Source organism: Homo sapiens, chromosome 15 (genome assembly GCF_000001405.40).
Source record: "Homo sapiens chromosome 15, GRCh38.p14 Primary Assembly".
NCBI classification, from domain to species: domain Eukaryota; kingdom Metazoa; phylum Chordata; class Mammalia; order Primates; family Hominidae; genus Homo; species Homo sapiens.
The window spans coordinates 89732436-89756269 of NC_000015.10; the positions used below are offsets into that span (position 1 = coordinate 89732436).

At 51.7% G+C, this 23834-nt stretch overlaps 2 protein-coding genes and 1 pseudogene across 18 annotated transcripts in view, besides 2 other annotated features; 2 read left to right on the plus strand and 1 right to left on the minus strand.

Annotated features, from left to right (window-relative positions):
• WDR93 (WD repeat domain 93) overlaps nucleotides 1-11203 on the plus strand; it is a 53291-nt gene extending 42088 nt beyond the window's left edge. For 6 of the 12 annotated variants that reach the window (XM_011521794.3, XM_011521795.2, XM_006720614.2 and 3 more), the window contains 4 exons: nucleotides 571-784; nucleotides 5138-5294; nucleotides 5606-5801; nucleotides 10857-11203. In XM_011521794.3, coding sequence (XP_011520096.1) covers nucleotides 571-784; nucleotides 5138-5294; nucleotides 5606-5801; nucleotides 10857-11137 — 848 coding nt within the window. In that variant the 3' untranslated portion in view covers nucleotides 11138-11203. Of the gene's footprint in view, nucleotides 1-570; nucleotides 785-3054; nucleotides 3119-4091; nucleotides 4267-5137; nucleotides 5295-5605; nucleotides 5802-10856 lie in introns of those variants that run through there. The other 6 variants (XR_931869.2, NM_020212.2, NM_001284395.2 and 3 more) reach the window with 6 other exon arrangements.
• Nucleotides 11-18814, minus strand: MESP1 (mesoderm posterior bHLH transcription factor 1). Of its 6 annotated transcripts, XR_001751351.2 has the most exons (6): nucleotides 18074-18814; nucleotides 17580-17792; nucleotides 17053-17112; nucleotides 14719-14842; nucleotides 11963-12059; nucleotides 10939-11021 (listed from the first exon to the last, which is right to left on the minus strand). XR_001751351.2 is itself a non-coding variant. In NM_018670.4 (2 exons), the coding sequence occupies exons 1-2, from the start codon at nucleotides 18794-18796 to the stop codon at nucleotides 17709-17711; spliced, it is 807 nt and encodes a 268-aa protein (NP_061140.1). In that variant the 5' UTR covers nucleotides 18797-18814; the 3' UTR covers nucleotides 17440-17708. The 6 variants fall into 6 exon arrangements, 1 of the variants encoding a protein (NP_061140.1); XR_007064473.1 differs by lacking the exons at nucleotides 10939-11021; nucleotides 11963-12059; nucleotides 17053-17112 and adding exons at nucleotides 11-2022; nucleotides 2290-2382; XR_001751352.2 differs by lacking the exons at nucleotides 10939-11021; nucleotides 17053-17112 and adding an exon at nucleotides 2345-2382.
• Nucleotides 18085-18374: a silencer, noted in NCBI's record as "silent region_6803". NCBI's record gives its function as "represses an Ori minimal core promoter by ATAC-STARR-seq in GM12878 lymphoblastoid cells {active_cell/tissue: GM12878}" and the evidence as "EXISTENCE:reporter gene assay evidence [ECO:0000049][PMID:35858748]".
• Nucleotides 18435-18864: a silencer, noted in NCBI's record as "silent region_6804". NCBI's record gives its function as "represses an Ori minimal core promoter by ATAC-STARR-seq in GM12878 lymphoblastoid cells {active_cell/tissue: GM12878}" and the evidence as "EXISTENCE:reporter gene assay evidence [ECO:0000049][PMID:35858748]".
• On the plus strand, nucleotides 19909-21109 carry MRPL15P1 (mitochondrial ribosomal protein L15 pseudogene 1; annotated as a pseudogene).

The window sequence follows — 23834 nt, forward strand, 5'->3', positions numbered from 1 at the left end:
CACACACTGCTAAGATAAACACCACTAAAGACCCTCCTTTATTTTACTTATTGAACCAACAGCATTATTATAGAAGCAAAAGATATTTCAAGGAAAGAAGAATGATGATGATTTCATAAGCCCTTGACCAAAATAGCTTGTTTTCATTTTTTTCTGGATATTAAGTTCTTGTTGTTTGGCCACACACACACACACACACACACACACCGCCTTTTCTGAAACAGCTGTGCCTCCCCCTGCCCATACGCCTTTGCATCCCATGGTCAGCTGCGCCTCAGTCCCTGGCTGGGTTGTAGCTTCCTTCCACTCCAGTGCTGACCCTGCCCTCCTCCATGCTCTTGCTTCTCCCCCTCCCCAATTCCTCTCCAGACACAGCAGCATTCCCCTGCAGGGGGCTTTTCTCTCCCATTGGGCACTAGGTTTACTGATTTTCTCTCACAGGGTGCTCATTGCTTGATTTTGCCTTCACATCCTACAAGTCCCTCACACACTTGCTGGTCACAGCCCCTGTGCCCATGGCCTCCTCCCCTACCCCGTTTTCTGACCGGCTTGTGTGATTACTTTCTCTAGGATTCCCTCTTGGGGTCGCTGCTCTTCCTCAGGGATGTTTCTGCCAAAGCATTCACTTCCTAAAATATTTCTCGGTCCACAAAGGACAGAATATGTATCCTGAAGGTCAAGTGAAATCCCAAATGAAATGTGTGGTGCTGTGCACAGACGCCTCCCTCCATCTGGTGGAGGCTAGCGGGACCCAAGGACCCACCATCAGTGTGCTTGTTGAGAGGTCAGTAGCTTGAGGGTGGGACGGGGTAAATAATTGGCCAGATTATTTTAATTGCTATTTGATAGTAAAATCTGACAGCCTCTCTGACTACAGTCCACCTTTTGTATAGTCATCACTCTCCTGGTGAGCTTCTGAAGATCACCAATGTCACATATATGTTACAATTTTTTCTAACAAAATTGTATGATAGCACAGATGACATCTGCTATGGTTTGACTCTCCCCTCCAAAACCCATGTGAAAACTCAATCCCCATTGTGGCAGTACTGTGAGATGGGGCCTTTAGGAGATGATTGGATCATGAAGGCTCTTCCCACATGAATGGATTAACCCACTCATGCATTAATGGATTAATAGGTGAATGGATTAATGGGTATCATGGGAGTGGAAATAGTGGCTTTATAAGAAAAGGAAGAGATACCTGAGCTAGAACATGAGCACACTCAATTCCCTCACCATGTCACACCCTATGCCGTCTCGGGACTCTCTAGAGAGTCCCCACCAGCAAGAAGGCTCTCACTAGCTGTGGACCCTTGACCTTGGACTTCTCAGCCTCCAGAACTGTAAGAAATAAATTCCTTTGCTTTATACATTATCCAGTTTCAGGTATTCTGTTATAAGCAACAGAAAATGGATTAAGACAACATCCTTCCCATCCCATACGGCCAAGAAGAGGCTCATTTCTCCCACAGTAAACTTCCATCAGTTTCTCCAGGGATCTCTCTCTCTTTTAAACATTTAAAAATACCTAATGCATGCAAATGAACCTGTATAATGTGTGTGTGTGTGTGTGTGCGCGCGCGCATGTGTGTACGTGTGTGTGTGTAATAAAGAATAATGAGATCAACTCCCCTGAAACCGTTGGAAATCGATAATCTCCAGTTCCATTTGGGCTCCCTGCATGGCTCTCCCTCATCAATCCTTCTTGCTCCGCCCCAAACACCTTATTAATTACCTAATGCTAAATAACAAACCACCCCAAAACTTAATGGTTTAAGAAAATAGTCAGTGTTTAGTCCTTGAGTCTGTAGGTCAGCAATTTGGACTGGACTCAGTCCGTTTCTTCTACTGGTCTCACCTGGGCTCTCAAATGTGCCTTCAGGCAGCTCACAGCTCTTCTAAGATAGCTTCACTCACACACCTGGCAGTTGGCAGGTTATTGGCCAGTGCACCTCGGTTTTCCTCATGGTCTCTCCTGCAGACTAGTACAGCCTTTCTCACATGGTAGTCTAAGGGCTCCTAGCAGCAGGAGAGGGCAACCATAGCACACAAATGCTTTTCAAGCTTCTGCTCATGTTACATTTGCTAATGTCCCATTGGGCAAAGCACATCCCACATCCATGCCCACATTCAAGCAGTAGAAAAACAGACTCCATCTTTTGATGGGAGTCACTGCCAAATACAGCCAACTGCTTTTCAATCTACCACACCATTTTTCTAAATTCATCATTCCTTTGCTTTCCCTTAAGAATTAACCACATTTAGGCCAGGTACAGAGGGTCACACCTGTAATCCAAGCACTTTGGGAGGCCAAGGCGGGTGGACCACTTGAGCTCAGGAGTTCAAGACCAGCCTGGGTAACATAGTGAGACCCCTTCTCTGTGAAAAGAACAAAAATTATTAAAAAAAGAAAAAGAATTAACCACATTTGTATGACTGTATCTCTAAACAGTATATTATTTAGCTATGCATATTTAGGAAACTTACAAAGCAAACCATATTCTATATATTCTCCAACTTGTCTTCCTTCCTTCCTTCCCTCCGTCCCTCCTTCCTTCCTTCCTTCCTTCTTTCCTTCCGTGCATCCTTCTTTCCTTTCTTTCTTTCTGTTTTGTTTGGTTTTGTTTGAGACACGGTCTCACTCTGTAGCCCAGGCTGGTCTTGAACTCCTGGGCTCAAAGTGCTGGGCCCCCAAAGTGCTGGGATTACAGGTGTGAGCCACTGCACCCAGCCTCCAACTTGTTTTTCAATGGTATTTATTCTGCATCTTGCTTTGCAACATTGTTCACAAGAGCCATACATGTTGATGCATGTAGCTCCAGTTCTTTTATTTTCATTACCATATTATATTTCATTGTATAAGATACCACAATGACTTAAGCATCCTCCTAATAGATATTTGGATTGTTCTTAATTTTTTGCTACTATGAACAGCCTCCTCACATATTTCTTGATTTCTCTGAATTTCTCCAGGATATATGCCTAGAAGAGGATATCAAAACTTTTAAACTCTTAAAGTAGGAGAATGTCTGTATATTTTCTGTCCTATAGGCCTGTAAAGCACCTGGATAAAACCATCTGTGCCGTGGCCCCAGTCCCAGCCTTACCTGGCATGGTAGGTTCCCCATGCCTCTCTGTAAATGCCCCATGCCTCTCATTTCTCTTCTGTGAATGTGTTCATCTGTCCTTTAGAAAATGCTTATTGAAGGCCTGTTATGTGTTAGGCACTGGACTAGCTTTCGGGTTTACAAATAGAAAGAGAAAGAACCTGCCTTCATGGAGCACACAGCTCATTTGGGAAGACAGAGAAGTCACCAGGCAGCTGCCTTAGAACATGAGAAAGGCTGTGATAGGGATTTTTTAATGGATGCATGGAACAGAGAGAGGGTCACCTAACTCAACCTGCAGAAGTTGGCAGCAGGGGAGGACTGTGTTTTCTGGAGGAGGTGACAGCTGAGCTGAGCCAGAGGAGTTGAGAAGGCAACACCATGGAGGCAAGAGAGCACCACGTGTCCCGGGCACTGCAGGAAGTCCCAGTATCTGCCACATGAGATTGCTGTGGAATGTGGAGAGGGAGGAGGCTGGGGCGGGAAGACAGGTGGGCCAGACCATGGAAGGTCCTGTACACTGCGCAGAAGGATACAGATGTGTCCCTGTGTGGGATGGGGCTCAAACAGAGAGGTCAGAGAATGGGAACAGCATATTTAGAGCAGGGATGGAGAGTTGAGAGATCTCAGTTCGGCGATGGACTCCACATTCTTCACTACCTGTGGCTGTTGCCAAAGGAGAGGGAAGCGTGCGCGGTTGATCCTCGCTTGCAGAGGTGATTCCCCAGTCCTTACAGGGCCCACTTCAGGCCTGGAGAGAAAGTCTGTGATTCCTGGTGTGGCCCTACGGAGGGTGAGGGGCCTACAGGACCCCCAGGGGAGGCTCCAAGAGAGCCAAGGGCTGAAAATGTAGATTCCATGCTCACCAGCCAGGTACAGTTAGTGAGAGGTGGTTGAAGTGGGGCGTACAGCAGGTTCCCCTTGTTAAAGAGAGGGAGTGAATAGAGAAGAGGTTCCCATGGGCACTACCATCACTTACAGGACCTGGAAAATCAGTTCACAAAGTGACCGTGAGGGGCCCCAGGGAAAACTGCATGGGGACAGTCCTGCAAGCAGAGAGGAGAGTCTAAAGAAAGTGAGAGCAGTGTCCTGTGCTGCAGAAAAACCAAGAACATGGTGGAGACGAGTGGCTGAAGCTGGGAGACAGACGCAGGAGGTGGGGGAGTGGACAGGGTGTGGAGAGACCCTCTTGTGTGGGGAGGGGAAAGTGGTGTGGCAGCTGGAGGAGGCTGTTGGGTCAAAGGGGGCTTTTTTTTTTTTTTTTGAAACGGAGTCTCGCTCTGCCGCCCAGGCTGGAGTGCAGTGGTGCAATCTTGGCTCACTGCAAGCTCTGCCTCCCGGGTTCACACCATTCTCCTGCCTCAGCCTCCCGAGTAGCTGGGACTACAGGTGCCCGCTAGCACGCCAGGCTAATTTTTTGTATTTTTAGTAGAGACGAGGTTTCACCGTGTTAGCCAGGATGGTCTCGATCTCCTGACCTCGTGATCCGCCCACCTTGGCCTCCCAAAGTGCTGGGATTACAGGCATGAGCCATCGCGCCCGGCCAAAGGGGACTTTCTAAGGATGGGGAGAGTTTAGTATGTTCACTGCAGAGGAAAGAGCCCAGGCAAGAGAGCATCCCCAGCTCAGATCTCAGGCCAGGAGGGGCTGTTAGATTGAGCAAGGTCCCTGAGGCAGTGGGAAGGAAAGGCATTGGGAGCACAGGTGAGAAATGGAATCTTGGCTACATGGAGGGTGAGCTCTTCAGCAGAGAAGCAGAGAACTTGGAAGAGAGGCTGGGAAAAAGGGGAGGAATGCATAGCCCTGGAGCAGACAGCATGTGGAGGAGGGTCTGTTGGCTGAGGGGGACCCCAAGCACACATGTGTGTGCAGGTCTCCAGCAGCCCTGGATGGATCCAGAGGCTGGGGCCCAAGAGGTTTTATGTCCAGCTGCTTCTCTCATTCCTTACTGGGGTGACCTCTACACGACCTTCCTGTGAGGGACAGAGTCCAGTAGAAGCCCCCCTCACCATCTCTTTGCTTCCCAGGTGCTCATCTTTTCCAAGAATGGCTCTGTGTGCCTTATGGATGTGGCCAAGCGTGAAATCATCTGTGCCTTTGCCCCTCCGGGAGCCTTTCCTCTGGAGGTCCCCTGGAAGCCAGTGTTTGCTGTGTCTCCAGACCATCCATGTTTCCTGCTCCGAGGTACAGAAAGGGACCAGGGCTGATGCCCACTGACCATTTCCCTGACTTAGTTCTCTCACAAACAGAGAGAGCCCCTCCGATCTCCTCCCCACTCTGTGTCCCCCTCTACCATAGGCCAAAGGGTACCGCAGCTCAGTCCTCACAGGGCACTTAGATAAAATGCCAGCAGGGTCTTCTCTCTGAAGTCACAGCTCAACCCAGATGACCCAGCCTTTATAAGCAGAGAGCAGCCCCCACCTGCTCACCTGGACCACAGAGCCCACTGAGAAAGCGATTGTTACACAGAACATGGTGTTCTTGTCTCGTCACAGGAGACTATTCACATGAAACTGCGTCCACCGACGATGCTGGAATCCAATATTCTGTTTTCTATTTTAATTTTGAGGCCTGCCCACTCCTGGAAAATATCTCAAAAAATTGTACCATTCCTCAAAGGGACTTGGATAACATGGCCTTCCCCCAAGCACTGCCACTGGAGAAGAGATGTGAGCGTTTCCTCCAGAAGAGGTAAAGAGCTCTGTGTCTTCACCCCCTCCCACATCTGAGGTTGTCTCTGGATTGAGGGATAGTGGAGTTTCTTTCATGGTAAATCCTTTCAGCATTGAAATTTCCCCTGGCTGGGCGTGGTGGCTCACGCCTGTAATCCCAGCACTTTGGGAGTCCGAGGCAGGCGGATCACCTGAGGTGAGGAGTTCAAGACCAGCCTGGTCAACATGGTGAAACCCCGTCTCTATTAAAAATACAGAAATTAGCTGGGTGTGGTGGTACATGCCTGTAATCCCAGCTACTCGGGAGGCTGAGGCAGGAGAATTGCTTAAACCTGGGAGGCAGAGGTTGCAGTGAGCCAAGATCGCACCACTGCACTCCAGCCTAGGTGACAGAGCAAGACTCTGTCCCAAAAAAAAAAAAAAAAAAAGAAATTTCCCCTAAGTGAAGGGTTCTACCCCATGATAGCCCATGAGCTGCACTCCACCTCACATGTGGATTGGTAGAAAAAGAGTCATTAATTCAGGCTGGGAGAAAAGAAGGGCTTCCAGTTGGTGTTTTCTTCCTGTCAAGATCATCTTTTTAACTTTCTCAATTCCCTCTTAAAAGTATGTTTAGGCCAGGCCCGGTGGCTCATGCCTGTAATCCCAGCACTTTGGGAGGCCGAGGTGGGCAGATTGCTTGAGCTCAGGAGTTTGAGACCAGCCTGGCCAACATGGCGAAACCCCATCTCTACAAAAAACACAAAATTAGCTGGGTGTGGTAGCACATGCCTTTTGTCCCAGCTACTCTGGAGGCTGAGGTGGGGGAGAATTGCTTGAACCTGGGAGGCAGAGGATGCAGTGAGCCAAGATCGTGCCATTGCACTCCAGCCTGGGTGACAGAGTCAGACCCTGCCTCAAAAAAAAAAAAAAAAAGTATGTTTGGATTATTAGACACAATCCTTAAGATGGGGTTGGCAAACTATGACCTGTGGGCCATATCCAGTCCACTGCCTGGTTTTGTAAATAAGGTTTTATTTGAACACAGCCGTGCCCATTTGTTTATGTATTATCTATGGCTACTGTATGCTATGGCAGGATTGAAGGCTGCGAAGGAGACAGCATGACCTATAAAGTCTAAATTATTTACATTCTGGGCCTTTACAGAAAATGTTTGCCAACCCATGATCTAAGACCCCTTTCTTTTACCCATCATTCAGATAAACCGTTATGTGTGTGTTTCTCCTCTTCCCCTTCCTCTTTCCACTCTCCCTAATCCTGCAAGCACTGTTTTCTTGCCCTCCTTTCTGCTATCAAAGCATAAGGAACAGTACTCAGGCCATTCTGGAGAAATAGGTGTCTCTTCTAATCCATCTCACAATAAATTTCTGGGGATTTGCAAATCCTTGTTGATGATTCCTTTTGGGATCTGACCACACATTTCGGGTGGACTGGGGTCATCAGTGGAGTCCTGGATCCTCGTCCCGGGCCTGCCACTACAGAACTAGGTGGCTCTGGCAGGTTCCTTTCCTTCCAGTGCCTAGATGTTCCTATGTATGTAACGTGACCTCTGAGATTCTGTGATCTCTCCAATCACCATAATGTCTCTTCACGACTGTCTCCCCCTTTCTCTGTGTAGACTCTTTACTCAGGGAAGAGTCACTTCACGACTATTTCCCCCTTTCTCTGTGTAGACTGTTTACTCAGGGAAGATTGAAGTAGACTGGTTAAGATATGCAGGTCTGGAGCCAAACAGACCTGAGTTTGATTCTGACACTACCACTTACAATGAGACCTTGGGCGAGTTACTCAGCCTCCTCATTCAGTCAAAAAACACATATTGTGCACCTGTGAGATGCCAGGCTGTGTTCTGACCATTTTAATGATGCCTGATTTTTTTTGGCTTAAGGTATTAAGTGGGATGATACATGGAAAGTACCAGGCACAGAGTGGTTGCTCAGTAAATGGTAGTTATGACCATGATGATGGCTCCCTGCTAATCCAAGTTCATGCCTGGGAAAATTCTAAACATTACCACTAGGTGGCACCATAGCTCCTCTCCGCTTCCTAGCTCATACCTGCACTTAACAGGGGCGTTCAAGTCCTTCCTGCATTGTAGTGGGTCGCTGGGAGGCTCTCGGTACCTCCCGGAGGGAAATGTGCCTATTCGTCAGGAGACGAATATGGTCTCATGAGTCTCTGGGGAGAGAGAGGCAATGAAGAAGGCGATGGTTGACATTGGCCCTCTCTAAAGGTCTACCAAGAATGTTCAACTATTCTTCACAGGGAGGGTTTTTGTTTTTTGTTTTTGTTTTTGTTTTTGAAACAGAGTTTCACTCTTATCACCCAGGCTGAAGTGCACTGGCGCGATCTCGGCTCACTGCAACCTCTGCCTCCCGGGTTCAAGCGATTCTCCTGCCTCAGCCTCCCCAGTAGCTGGGATTACAGGCATGCGCCACCACGCCCGGCTAATTTTTGTATTTTTAGTAGAGATGGGGTTTCTCCATGTTGGCCAGGCTGGTCTCGAACTACTGACCTCAGATTATCTGCCTGCCTCGGCCTGCCAAAGTGGTGGGATTACAGACATGAGCCACCACGCCTGGCCTGATTTTATTTAAAAGCTGCAAATGTATAGATTACTTTTTTAAAAAGTGTTAAATTGGCCGGGCGCGGTGGCTCACACCTGTAATCCCAGCACTTTGGGAGGCCAAGGCGGGTGGATCACCTAAGGCCAGGCGTTCGAGACCAGGCTGGCCAAAATGGTGAAACCCCGTCTCTACTAAAAGTACAAAAATTAACCGGGCACGGTGGCAGGTGCCTATAATCCCAGCTACTCAGGAGGCTGAGGTAGGAGAATTGCTTGAACTCAGGAGGTGGAGGTTACAGTAAGCTGAGATCATGCCATTGCACTCCAGCCTGGGCGACAGAGCAAGAATCTGTCTCAAAAAAAATAAATAAATAAGTGTTAAATATTCTTTATTTGCTATTACACATAAATCACACCAGAATCTCTTTCAATAAGTAAAAGGGATTTTATTTTATTTTTATTTTGTCTATTTTTTGAGACAGGGTCATCCAGGCTGGAGTGCAGTGGTGCAATCACAGCTCACTGCAGCCTTGACTTCCCGGGCTCAGGCAATCCTGCCTCAGCCTTCCGAGCAACTGGGGCCACAGGCATGCGCCACCACACCCAGCTAATTTTTTTATTATCTGTGGAAGCAGGGTCTCCCTATGTTGCCCAGGCTGGTCTTGAACTCTTAGGCTCAAGTGACCCTCCCACCTGGGCCTTACAAATTTCTGGGACTATCAGTGTGAGCCACCATTCTCAGCCTAAAAGAAACCATTACAGATACAGGGAATTCTACTTAGATTGGCAGAGTTAAGGTCAAAAATATAAAGTACACATTGCTACTTTACCTTCAGCCCTTTCCTTTAAGAGGCAAATCAACACAAAATATGGTGCATCTTGCTTGGTTCTGAGACAGTGAAGGAATTTCTCCAGTGTTTAAATATATTCATATAACCGGTTATATAAATCTAAATATAAAACCTATCTCCAATACTTTTTTTTTTTGAGATGGAGTCTCGCTCTGTCGCCAGGCTGGAGTGCAGTGGCACAATCTCAGCTCACTGCAACCTCTGCCTCCCAGGTTCAAGTGATTCTCCTGCCTCAGCCTCCCAAGTAGCTGGGACTACAGGCACATGCCACCATGCCCAGCTAATTTTTGTATTTTTTAGTAGAGACGGGGTTTCACCATGTTGGCCAGGATGGTATCGATCTCTTGACCTTGTGATCCACCCGCCTTGGCCTCCCAAAGTGCTGGGATTACAGGCATGAGCCATCACACCCGGCCTCCAATACATTTTTAAGATAGCATTCACCATTTTTGTGAAAAGTTGGACATTACCAGCCAGGTGCTGTGGCTCACGCCTGTAATCCCAGCAGTTTGGGAGACAGAGATGGAGGATCACTTGACGCCAGGAGTTCAAGATTAGCCTGAGCAACATAGTGAGACCCCATCTCTACATCTACATCTATAAATAAAAAATTAATTAATTAAATTAATTAAAATCTTATCTCCACATAGATGGAGAGCCTCAAAACAAATCAAAGCTATGGTCATTGTCTTTCTCCCCCAGAGTACTCCTCTTCCTGTTTGCCTAAGCATTTTAACATCATTCACTTGCACCTCCTTCCCTACCACAACCCCACTGACAGCCCCCCCTCCACCCTGCTAAGCGTGCCCGTCTCTGTGTGCACTCTGAGGGGTGAATCTTGGGCTTCTCTGATTTTTCTGTAGTGAACATGCACTTATTATTTTTTTTTAAACAACTCTTACTTTTTTTTTCTTTTGAGATGGAATTTTGCTCTTGTTGCCCAGGCTGGAGTGCAATGGTGCTATCTTGGCTCACTGCAACCTCCATCTCCCAGATTCAAGCGATTCTCCTGCCTCAGCCTCCTGAGTAGCTGGCATTACAGGCACGTGCCACCACGCCTGGCAAGTTTTGTATTTTTAGTAGAGACGGGGTTTCTCCAGGTTGGCCAGGCTAGTCTCAAACTCCCAACCTCAGGTGATCCGCCTGCCTTGGCCTCCCAAAGTGCTGGGATTACAGGCGTGAGCCACCGCGCCTGGCCAACAACTCTTACTTTTTAAAAGACCCAACTCAAACTGTCTTTATAAAAGTTGGAATCATACAGTGTGTCTTTTTGTGACTGGCATATTTCAGTCAGCGTAATGTCCTCAATAGTCATCCATGGTGGAGCATGTGTCAGAACATCTTCCTTTTCAGTCTGAATGTTCCGTTGTGTGTAATACCACAGCTTGTTTGCAAATAGCCTTTTAGTTCCTCAGCTCGCCATCCTGTCTACCCACATGCACCTCACAGGTAAGAATGCTAGACCCATCATTCCTCCAGGAAAGGCCTTCTGAGCACCTGCTGTGTACCAGGCTGAGCCCTGAGGACACAGAGGCGATGCAGGTGTGTCCTCTTAGAGTTTCTCATAGGAGCACAGGGTAGTCGAGGTCTGCCCTGGGGGCTCGGGAGCTGGGGAAGTGAGAGGAGATTCCTCTCATCACAGTTGTGTGGCCCTCAGCTATCGGAAGCTGGAGAAGAACCCAGAGAAGGAGGAGGAGCACTGGGCCCGGCTTCAGAGGTACTCCTTGTCGCTCCAGAGAGAGAACTTCAAGAAGTGAGGCTGCCACCGCCCTGGGATCTCTGAAAAGGAGGTTTCAGCCACGAGGCAGCTGCTCCCAGGACACTGAGGCCAAGAGAAATGTAACAGAGCCACAGCTCCACAGGCCTGCACTCGGAGTCTGGGGCCTCTGCAGAGCCAGCAAGGGGAAAAGTATAATCTGGGGGACCTTCAACCACTAAGCCTCTTGTCAGAGCCCTCAGGCAGGCAGATGTGTCACCCAAATAAACAGTGATATTGTCTCCAGACTCCCAAGTTGCTGTGGTATATAACTCATCGTTCCCACGCAGTCCAGACCCCAGCAGGGCCCAGATGATGGTTTCAACCAGAGTCCTCGGCCTGGTGAGGACCACTCACCTCCTAGGCCCTGGAGAGCCACTGTCCTCAGATGAGCAAGACACCCCGCCCACCTGTTTTCCCCACCCATTTCTCCCTCCCACGGCTGGCTCACACCTTTATAGAATAGCTTTGAGGAGGTGAGGCTCAGGATGGTGGCGTAAGGGCCTGAGGCCACACAGGTACGAGAGGCAGAGTGGGAGGGAGAGGTGGCAGGCAGGAGCTGGGCCACTGCTGCCCCTGGCCTGCTGGCTCAGGAACGCTAGAGGTGGCTGGGCAGAGAGATGCCTTGTTCTTCTCTAGAAACTGTCCTCCCCCAAAAAACAGACGGAGGGGTCCCCAGCAGCCCAAGGGATCCGTGAGGACCCTGTGTGGAACCTTGGAGGCTGAGGGGGCTCAAGTGTCCCAGCCTGGTCCTAGGCCTGCTCAGTCTCTTGGGTGAGAAACTACCTGGGAGGGTGACTGCACTCAGAGTTTGTGATGGCTGCTGTTTTGCAGCCCCATCCACCTCCTCCCTGGGTCACATACCACATTCCTTGTTGGCCAGACAACTTCCATGTGGCACTGATGCTGGCTAGCTGACTGTCCCCCGGGATGAAGGTATCCCCGCCTGAGACACTCTGGCCCTCTCCACACCCCACCATGGGAATGAAATATAGCCGCCAACATACCTGTTGGCAGTAATTCCCTCTACACAGCAGGTGCTCTGGCAGCTCTCTGGAGACGAGGAAGGAGAACTTAGGAAGATGGTCTTGGCTTACACACCACCTAAGGTGTTGGGGAACCAACATTTCTGTGGTTGGTGTATTTTACATTTAAGCTTTAAGCAACCTTGTGAAACATAGATGTTATTGTTATCCCCATTTTACAGAGCAGGGAACTGAGACTCAGGTGAGACAGCGTAGAACAGCCTGTGTCCAGTCCCCGTGGGCTTCTCCATAGCAAATGCTAGAAACCGAACACAAACTACCTTTAGCAAAAAGGGGGATGTGTTGGCTCAGATAACTTAGCCATCCAGGAGTCACACTCTTGGTGTGGCTGGATCCAACCCCAGGTGTTGAGATCACACCTGGAGTCTCCCTCCGCCTCTCAGTTCTAATTCCCCCTTCAGGCAGGCCTTCCACTTGGGTGACACCAGAAGCACCCGGTGGACCACCCCTTCCCAATAGTGCCGGCAAAGCCCTGAGCCTGCTCCTCACTGGCCTGCATGTAGTCTCTTTCCTGAACCACTCACTGTAATGATGGTCAGGGCTGCGGCAGGTGTCCATCCCTGGAGGGAGGGAGAGGTATTCCCACCCCCAAACCAAGGACTGACAAGGGGAAGAGCTCTCTGGGGAAAGGAAATGACAGGGCCATGAGGGAGGAAGGCAGGAGGGATACTGAGCAGGCAGACAACAGAGGCACCCGGCCCAGCAGAGGCAGCAGGGAGCCCAGCCCACCCTCTGCCAAGACATGTGCTGCCCACACCTGGCCACCTTCTCCTTTCCCAGCGTGTGAGGGGAGAGCGGGTGGGGAGAGGGGATCTGAGGCATTCACAAGGCGTCTTATGTGCCAGGTCCCACCAGCGGGACGAGGGAGAAGGAACCAGGGCCGGTCAGCACGAGGCTAGTGCTCCCCAGCTGGTAGGCTGCGCTGCCAGGGCTCCAGCCACTTCCGCCTGTGCAGCCCCAGGCAGAGCTGGCCATGCCTGTGGGCCCAAAAGAGGTCCTTGCCCTCTGGGTGACAGACCCCATGGAAACATCAAGAACCTGTGTTGGCCGGGCGCGGTGGCTCAAGCCTGTAATCCCAGCACTTTGGAAGGCTGAGGCGGGCGGATCATGAGGTCAGGAGATCGAGACCATCCTGGCTAACAAGGTGAAACCCCGTCTCTACTAAAAATACAAAAAATTAGCGAGGCGTAGTGATGGGCACCTGTAGTCCCAGCTACTCGGGAAAGCTGAGACAGGAAAATGGCATGAACCCAGAAGACGGAGCTTGCAGTGAGCCAAGAACACGCCACTGCCCTCCAGCCTGGGCGAAAGAGCGAGACTCTGTGTCAAAAAAAAAAAGAACCTTATGTCTTCTCAGGGTATGGTTGGAACTAGAGCAAGGCATACCAATGCCCAGGTGCAGCATCCACACCTCCTTTCCTCCCCACAGGATCCACACACCAACACCTCCACACATCCACACCTCCAAAGAGCATCCACACCTCCACTCCTCCCAACAGGATCCACACACCAACACCTCCACACATCCACACCTCCACACATCCACACCTCCACGCATACACACCTCCACACATACACACCTCCACACAGCATCCACACTTTCACACAGCATCCACACCTGACACCTCCACACCTCCACACATACACACCTCCACACAGCATCCACAGCTCCACACAGCATCCACACCTCCACACAGCATCCACACAGCATCCACACAGCATCCACATAGCATCCACACCTCCACACAGCATCCATACCTACTCACCTCCACACAGCATCCTCACTTACTCACATCCACACATCATCCACATAGCATCCACACCTCCACACGTCCATGCAGCATCCACACCTCCACACATTCACACATCCACACAGTATCCACACAGCATCCACACCTCCACACATCCACACATCCACACATCCACACAGCATCCACACCTCCACACATCCACACATCCACACAGCATCCACACCTCCACACATCCACACCGCATCCACACCTCCACACAGCATCCACACCTCCACACACACACACAGCCCTGCCTCTACACACACAGCCCCGCCTCCACACACACACACAGCCCAACCTCCACACACGCACACACAGCCCAACCTCCACACATACACACAGCCCTGCCTCCGCAAACACACGCAGCCCCGCCTCCACACACACACAGCTCCGCCTCCACACACAGAGACACACACACAGAGCCCTACCTCCCCACACAAACACACACAGCCGCACCTCCACACACACACACAGCCCCGCCTCCACACACACACAGCCCTACCTCCCCACACATATACACACAGCCCTACCTCCCCACACATATACACACAGCCCTACCTCCCCACACACACACACACACAGCCCCACCTCCACAAACACACAGCCCCGCCTCCACACACACAGCCCTGCCGCCACACACACACACACACAGAGCCCTGCTGCCCCAGCCACACACACAGCCCCGCCTCCACACACAGCCCCACCTCCACACACACACACACACACAGCCCCGCTGCCACACACACGTGCACACAGAGCCCCGCCGCCACACACACACATATGCTCACGCACACACACAGCCCCACCACACACACATGCGCATGCACACACACACACACAGCCCCGCCGCCACACACACAGCCCCACTGCCACATACACACACACACACACACACACACACACACACACACACACACACACCCCTACCTTGCTGCCAGGGCTCTTGCAAAGACAGGCTTCACCAACCACCAGCCCACAGTTGGCCCGTCCCCAGGGGCTGCACACTAGCCTTATGGAAAGTTCCTCGAGTTCCCTGTGCGTCAGCTTCTGCCTGTAAAACAGAGAGAGTGCAAACCTACCCACCTTGCCAGCGGCCCTGAGCCCAAATTTTAAGCCCCAAGCACACAGCCCGGCCAAGGGTCGCTGCTCTGGAAATGCTGGTTTCCCTGCGCTGGCCTTCTCACTAGGTGGCCCTGTGAAAGCAGAGCCCCAGAAGAGGAGGGCGGCTGGGGACTAGTGGGGACCAGCGGGCAGCTAGTTGGCCTCAGCGGGCACCCCTGTGCCGGTGCAGTCCTTCTCACTACTCCCTCCACGGCACGTGGGGCCTGGCCCAGACCACTCCACAGTGGGGCACCCTGACTGGGCCTCAGGGGAGGTGAGGCGCCCCCCAGTACCCTCTGTTCTTGAGACAAGCTGGTGTTCAGCCGAAGCGAAGGCAGCACACCTGGTGATTACGCACACAGGTCTGGAGTCACAGCCGGGTCCAGATCCCAACACTGCCACCCACCATCTGCAGCCTTTTTCTTAACGCTCCTGTTCTTAAAGTGGCCCTGCAGCTGGGGTTACCTTGCAGCGGGGCTGAGAACTGAGGTGAGGGAGGCTCCACTACCACCCGGCACGGGGCGCCTACCTGGACGCTGGCTACTGTTGTCGGCTCTGTGAACAGGCACACAGGGTTTCCTCCGGGTGTGGGATGGGGCTGCCCGGGATGGGGGTTGGGGATGCTGGAGCAGTGGGAGATGTCCCCTGCCTATCTCCAGTCCTGAGTCTGGGCAGCTATTAGCAGAACCTTGTTAATGAAAATTCACACCTAGGTGCTAATAAACACTGGGCCACTCCCAGGCTCAGAGGCGGAGGAGAAGCCCTCTGCAGGGAAGGGGGCTAGCCAATGAGCCCCACTTATCTGTGAAAAGACTTGCTAATAACTTTAATTCCCCATTCTAAAACGCAGGGCCTTTGCCATGCAAATAGATCTTCTAAGCTGTGTCGGCTCCAGAAAACTTCCCACTCTACCCCAGTTAGGGTCCTGGGAGGGGAGTGAGAGATGGGACAGAGGAGCAGGAAAGGGGGTGACCCGCGGAGGTGTGAGGTCCCACCCCGCTGCAGGCCTGACTTTTGGAGCCCACTCTGTGGCCAAGCGCCAGGCCGGGTGTGCCCTGCCTGGCCTGGACCCCTGAACTGCAGATCAGGGACTCGATCCCACTCTGCATTACCGCCCCTCCTGGCCCGGGCCGGAGTACTGGAAGTGATCTCTGAAGCAGTTGAAAAACAAACCGAGCGGCATCAGCGGATGAACCACGGATAAACCAACTGTCATGTAGCTGAACAATGGAAGATTATTGGGCAATAAAAAGAAACGAAGTTCTGACACAGGAGGCAGCATGATGAGCCTTAAAAACATTGTGCTCAGTGAAAGAAGCCAGACACAAAAGGCCGTATTTTGCGATTCCTTTTATATGAAATGTCCTGAAAAAGCAAACCTATAGAGACAGAGACTAGAAGAGTGAGTGCCAGGGACTGGGAGTAGGGAATAGTGAGGAGTGATGTTAACAGGTATACGGTTTCTTTTGGGGGGTGAAAACGTTCTAAAATTAGTGGCAATGCTTGCACAACTCTGTGGATGTACTAAAGCCATTCAGTTGTTAAAAGAGTGAATTTTATGGTATGTGAATTGTATCCTAATAAAGCTCTTATAAAAACAGACACTGAAGCCTGTGTTTCAGACACTTGAAGGAGAGGAGGGGAGAACTGGGTATCTATCCATAGAGGGTAAAGGACGCTTGGCAGAGAGGCTACACATCCCTTCTCCCCACCGCACCCTCTAATCATGACTGTTGCCCAGACACCCTGGCTGGATGAGGACACACTTTCTGGGCTCAAGCCTCCCGTTTCTTGCTCCCTGATGTGAATCCAGCCAATGCAGACAGGCACGCAACTGCCTGTGTGGATTCCGATGCAACCCCATGGGCCCCTCATCTCACCCCATCTAGGCCTGTAGGAGGTCATGGTTATATAAACTCAGGACCGCCACACCATTATTTATGTCTCTAAGCCACAAGGTGGGGAAACCAGAGAAAAGGCAGATGGGAAAATGCCGGCGGAGGGTGGGGGAGTTCCAAGGCCAGGATGCTCCCGTGCATGGAGAATAAGACCACAGGATGCAAGAAAATAACCCCTTGGAGCTGTTATCCCTCAGGCCCCAACATGTATGGAGCTGGCAAAATCCCACAAGAGCTGAGCGCTGGGACTCTGGAGGCCTACCTGGGCTTGAGCGCTGATCCTCATCCTTCTGTAAAATGGTTACTTGAGTATAATAGGTACCTGATGTACATACAATAAATACTCAATAATGGAGTTGTATTTCTACACAGATATTTTGGTTTTAACCAGTTCCCCACCAGGTTCAAAGAAAAGATGAGCAGATTCTACTTGCCGCTGCCTTCTCACAGGACGTCCCTCCCCACCCATTCCAGGCTGACCCATCTGGACTAGATGCTGAGCCAGGGCTGGGGGTAAGGCCAAAGGGGTCTGGGCCTGTGGGGGTCGGGGGGCTAAAGATTGCAAGAACCCCTCCCACCTCTCCCATGCTCTTCTTTGGAGGGAGAGAGGGAGCTCTGTGTCCACGGGTAGGAAGAAGAAATTGCCAACTGACACCAGTACAGTTTATTCACAAATAAATAAATTCACATTAGGCAGAGCCTCCTGCTTGCCTCAAAGTGTCTAGCCCTATGGGTCCCTCCATGGAGGGAGGGGCTGAGAAGGGCCGCCGCGGTGGGGACGGCTCTCACCCGCAGGAATGCCCCCGTCGGGATCGCCCGTGCCCTCTTCCAGGAAAGGCAGTCTGCCAAGGAACCACTTCGAAGGTGCTGAGGCCAAAAAGCCTCGGTGCTCACAGAGACGGCGTCAGTTGTCCCTTGTCACTTGGGCTCCTCAGGCAGCCACTCCAGAGGCGAGAGGGGCATCCAGGTCTCCAACAGAGCCAGCACGTCGCCCGGAAGGAGCTGTAGGGAGAGACGGAACAGCGCAGCCCTCAAGCACTGGTGGCCTTGTGCGGGTGTCCGCGCTCGTGGGCTCCACTCTCAGGGGGCCCCTAGCGAGGGGAGACCCAGTCCTCTGCGTGGCCTTTCCCTGCCTTCGCTTCTTGGAGCCCTGGGCATACTATGGTGGCCAGGTGGCCAGGCTGCCGGCGGGGAGCAGCAGGGTGCCTGGTCCTCACCTTGGCGGGCGGTGGGGCTGTGCGCGGGGGCACGGACGAAGGGGGCGCGGGGAAGGGGACACTAACCGGGGACGGTGGGCTTGGCTCCATCGCCTGCCCTTCAGGGCACGCCGCCTCGGCGAACAGCGCAGGCGGGTCGCGCGGCTCGGGTGCAGCTCGGGCTCCGGGGCAGGCAGGCGGGGATCCCCAGGACGCCCCGGCGCGGACGGCGGATACCAGGCCCAGCCCGCGCCCCTGCCCCTGCCCCTCAGCCTGCGTCCGTGTCTGCATCTGCGCGGGGCAGTCGTCGGGGCACAGCGGGCAGCCCCGAGGGGACCCCGCGTCACCGCGCTGCCGGCACCGGCGCTGGAGACTCTCCTCGCTGAGGCCTAGCACGGCCGACAGGTGGCCGATATAGCGGATAGCCAGGCGCAGCGTCTCGATCTTGGTCAGGCTCTGGCCCGCGGGCGCCACGGACGGCGGTAGAAAGCGGCGCAGCTCGTGCAGGGCGCGGGCCAGCGTGCGCATGCGCAGTTTCTCCCGCTCACTGGCGCTCTGCCTCTGCCCGCTGCCCAGGCGGCTGCTGCGCGCGCCGCGCCTACCTACGGAGGGGGCGCGGGGGTCCCGGAGGGTGCCTGGCCGCGCGGGGCTCGCCACGGGGCTGTCGGCTGGGGTGCTGCCCCATGAGTCTGGGGACGAGACGAGGGAGCGGCCGCAGTCCTTGTCGGAGGGCGGCGGCCGCCGAGTTGGGCCCCAGGCCGCAGAGAGCATCCAGGACTCGGAGAGCGGCGGGCACAGGGGCTGGGCCATGGCAGCGGCGGCGCGTCTGGGGGCCGGCGGCCGGCGGCCGCTTTATGCCGAGCCCGAGGTGTGAAGTGGCCCCTTCCAGGCCGCATCAGCACATCAAAGTGGGCTCGGGGCTTGGAGGGGGCGGAGCCTGACCCTTTGAATCCACGGCGGGGGGCCAAGGTGCCAGCCCCTTGACTGCGCCTGTTTCGCCCCACCTGGGCCCTCGCTTGGGCGCCCGACCCAGCCTCTCGGCCTTCCCGCCTGCGCCCAGTGTTGGGTGAAGCCCGGGGCGTTGGGCCAGCCCTGCAGGTTAAAGGAAGCGGGGTCAGAAAAACGAAATCTAGATCCTAGGTTTGGGGCCTGCCTTCACCTGTTGGGGACCTTATGCAAATTCTTAGTTCTTTTGCACCTTAGCTTCCAATTTGTATAATGAGAGCCTCAGGGCATGCGCCAATTGGACAGTGGAGTAGAGTAAGGACCAGGAGCAGGGACCCTCATTCCCTCTAAAGGTGGAGAAAACAGTAAACCACTTCTCCTTTGAGGCAGGATGGCCCTGGGTAGACCCTTCCCTGGTAAGAACATGTGGACAGTGCAAGGAAGCTTGCACCCCGGCAAATTCAATAAGCTGCCGAGTCTGGTCAGGATGCTGGACCTTCTGAGCAGAGGGAGGGGGTTAAGCCTGCTCCAACCCCAGGCCACCTCTAGCCTGGCAAGGTCTGGAGCTTGGCCTGTTGCCACAGCTGTCACCACTGGCCTTTACCTGATGTTCTGCCGCTATTGGACAGGTATAACAGGTTTTCCCAATGAAATGTGAGTGGAAATGACGCAGCAAAGGCATTTGACAAAATCCAACACCCTTCGTGATGAAAATTCTCAGCAAACTAAGAATAGAGAGGAATTTCATCAACCTGATGAAAGGCTCCTACAAAGAACCTACAGGTAGCCTCATACTGAGTAGTGAAAGACTGAAATCTTCCCCCCACCCCCCGATTGCAGGAACAAAGCGAGGGTGTCTCTCTTACCACTCCTATTCAACATTGTACCAGATGGAGGATCTAGGCTATGCAATTAGGAAACAAAAGACATACAGGTCAGAAAGGAAGAAATAAAACTCTTTTCGCAGGTTATGGCAGCTCTGGGCCCTGCTGCGCATGAGCCTGACCAATTTAAAGCGGAATCCTGGCTCCAGGAAACCCATGAGACGACCAAAAGGTCGGAGAAGAGGTAGAAAATGCGGCAGAGGCCATAAAAGAGAAAGGCAGAGAGGAAACTGGCTCTGCTGGGCTTTGGGGATGGCCAGACTCTATTTTACATCGGAATCCCAAAATACAGATTTAATGAAGGACTTAGCTTCAGACACCAGTATCAACCTTTAAGTATCAATAGACTGTAATATGTTACTGATTTGGGTCGTGTTGATCCTACTCAACCTATTGACTTAACCCAGCTTGTCAATGGAAGAGGTGTGACCATTCAGCCACTTAAAGAGGATTATGGTGTTCAGCTGGTCGAAAAGGCCGCAGACACCTTTCAGGTGAAAGTTAATATTGGGCCGGGCGCGGTGGCTCACACCTGTAATCCCAGCACTTTGGCAGGCCAAGGGGGGTGGATCATGAGGTCAGGAGATTGAGACCACCCTGGCCACCGTGGTGAAACCCCGTCTTATTAAAAATGCAAAAATTAGCCAGGCATGGTGGCACGTGCCTGTAGTCCCAGCTACTTGGGAGGCTGAGGTAGGAGAATCACTTGAACCCGGGAGGTGGAGGTTGCAGTGAGCTGAGATCATGCCACTGCACTCCAGTCTGATGACAGAGTGAGACCCCCTGTCCAAAAAAAAAAAAAAAAAAAAAAAAGTTAATATTGAAGTACAGTTGGCTTCAGAACTAGCTATTGCTGCAATTGAAAAAAATGGTGGTGGTGTCACTACAGCCTTACAGGATCCAAGAAGTCTGGAAATTCTATCCAAACCTGTTCCATTCTTTTTGGAGACAACCCATTCCAAAAAGAATGCTTCCTTCTGAAGCACTGGTACCATATTCCACCAATGCAAAGAATCGTGGGAACCTGGCAGATCCTGCCAAATTTCCTGAAGCACAACTTGAGCTTGCCAGGAAGGACAGTTCTAATTTACTGGATATCACGAAAGAAGAACTCTTCAAATGTTCAGTACTCAGAAGGATCCAAGGCAGATTTTCTTTGAGTTTGCTCCAGGATGGGTGCTGAATATAGTAGATAAGAAAATCCTAACATCTACAGATGAAAATCTCCTCAAGTACTAGAGCTCATGAATTCCCATCCAAGAAAGCAGAGTTGTTAAAGAATATTAGAAAAGGGCCAGGCACAATGGCTAACACCTGTAATCTCAGCACTTTGGGAGGCCGAAGAGGGTGGATCGTGAGATCAGGAGTTTGAGACCAGCCTGGCCAACATGGCGAAACCCCGTCTCTACTAAAAATACAAAAATTAGCCAGGCATGGTGGCAGACGCCGGCAATCCCAGCTACTCGGGAGGCTGAGGCAGGATAATCGCTTGAACCCGGGAGGCGGAAGTTATGGTAAGCCAAGATCGCTCCATTGCACTGCAGCCTGGATGAAATTTCACCTGGCCCCTCAGGAGTTTGAGTTTGCACCCTGGTCTTAATAGGTACTTCGTGCATGGCTATCTGCTCTCCAGCCAGACTGTGAAGTACCTGGTGTCTGGGTGTCTGGCATCATATCTTTACCTGTTTTCAAGCGGAATGGTTTCTTTCAGTGCCAGATGTCTGATTTTTTTTTTTTTTTTTTTTTTTGAGACAGGGTCTGGCTCTGTCGCTCAGGCTGGAGTGCTGTGGCGCAATCTTGGGTCACTGCAACCTCCGCCTCCTGGCCACATTGAAAGACAAAGAATTTTCTTGAATCACATATAAAATACAGTAATGAGGCTGGGCACCATGGGATCAAGCCAGTAATCCTAGCACTTTGGGAGGGCGAGGCAGGGGGATCACTTGAGGTCAGGAGTTCGAAACCAGCCTGGCCAACATGATGAAACCCTGTCTCTACTAAAAATACAAACAATTAACCTGGTGTGGTGGCGCATGCCTGTAGTCCCAGCTCTCGGGAGGCTGAGGCAGGAGAATCGCTTGAACCTGGGAAGTAAAGGTTGCAGGGAGCTGAGATTGTGCCATTGCACTCCAGCCTGGTGACAGAGCAAGATTCTGTCTAAAAAAAGAAAAAAAAAATACACTAATGATAGCTACTGCACTAACAAAATTGCAAAAAAAAAAAAAAAAACTCATAATGTTTTAAGGAGTTTACGGAATGTTTAAGAAGTTTATTTGTGTTGGGCCACATTCAAAGCCATCCTGGGCCGTGGGTTGGACAAGCTTGGTGTACACCAAACCACTCATCGTCCCCTCCCTCCTCCACCCCCTTTCCTCCCTACCCCTCCACTCACCCCTCGCCCATCTTCTCTGCTTAACTGGCCTGGTTCTCAGCAATACCAGCTTTCTTCATGGTATGAAATTGCAGGGATTCCCACTTCACCTTCTCCTTCCAAGCCGTCACCAGATGACATCCCTTCTTTCTGTATTTTCTTCAGGTCCACCTCTTTCTTTGCTTTTCTTTCCATTACCCGAATCCAGTCTTTCTCCCAACTTCCTTCACCCAGTCTAATCTTCTGTAGGAAACATTTCTTCCATCTTCCCTTCAATCTACATTCTTTCCTCTGGCCTCCAAGATCTCTGGAATGTGGATCCTCTCAGCCCTCAGGCTGTCTCTGCTCTGGGACACAGACCCCTTGGCACATGAGACTTGTCTTCCTCTGTTTTCTACACACACACACACACACACACACACACGCACACACCAAGTCCCACCTCTCTGCCGTTGTCCATGCCACTGCCCCACCCTGTAGTGCCCTCATTCCTACTTAGCAAGCTTTCTAAACATCAAAACCTAGCTCAACATTTTTATTTTTATTTGTTTGTTTATTTATTTTGAGATGGAGTCTCGCTTTGTCACCCAGGCTGGAATGCAGTGGCACCATCTCGACTCACTGCATCCTCCACCTCCTGGGTTCAAGCGATTCTCCTGCCTCAGCCTTTCAAGTAGCTGGGACTACAGGTGTGTGCCAGCACGCCCAGCTAATTTTTGTGTTTTTAGTAAAGACGGAGTTTCTCCATGTGGAACTCCTGACTTCAAGAGAGCCTCCCAAAGTGCTGGGATTACAGGCATGAACCACTGTGCCCAGTCCCAGCCCAATTTTTACCTTTGATGAAGCTTTCTCTGAACTTTAGTATGGTAGTTTTCCAAACTATTTGTCTTCTTGTTCATGCTCTTATGTTTTAAATCCTAATTGTTTCTAGTAGATTGTAAACTCCTTTGGAATAATGTCAGTATGTAATACTTTGTTACTTATCCAAGCAGTACAGGACACTCAGAGTTGATTAGCTGATGTGGAATAGATATGTGTCCCAATTTGTGTTTGATTGTTTTCTTTCTTTTTTTGAGAGAGAGTCTTGCCCTATTGCCCAGGCTAGAGCACAGTGGCATGATCTGGGATCACTGCAGCTTCTGCCTCTCAGGCTCAAACGATCCTCCCACCTCAGCCTCCTGAATAGCTGGGACCACAGGCGCATGCCACCATGCCTGACTAATCTTGGTATTTTTTTGTAGATATGGGGTTTCATCATGTTGGCCAGGCTGGCCTTGAACTCCTGACCTCAAGTGATCTGCCCGCCTCAGCTTCCCAAAGTGCTGGGATTCCAGTTTTGCTGGTCTGATGTTTTGCATTCCCCCATAGCTTCCAGCCCAGTGAGCCTGATGGGTGAGCTGGTTTGTAGCGATGATGGCCCCATGGCATGGTACCTTCTCCCTGGGCATGTCTCCCACCCCTCCTTCCTGGGATCTCTTCTGTCTCCTGCTGTTCTTGGCCTCCTCTGACACCTTCTGTTCCTCCTCCTCTGCAGTCTGTCCCAGCAGCCCCAGAATGCCTATGCCCAGGATCACATCCAGGAGAAGCAGTGCCAGCCAACCCCTAGAGTGGGGAGAAGGGGAGAAGCCCCCTCCCTGTGCATATGCCC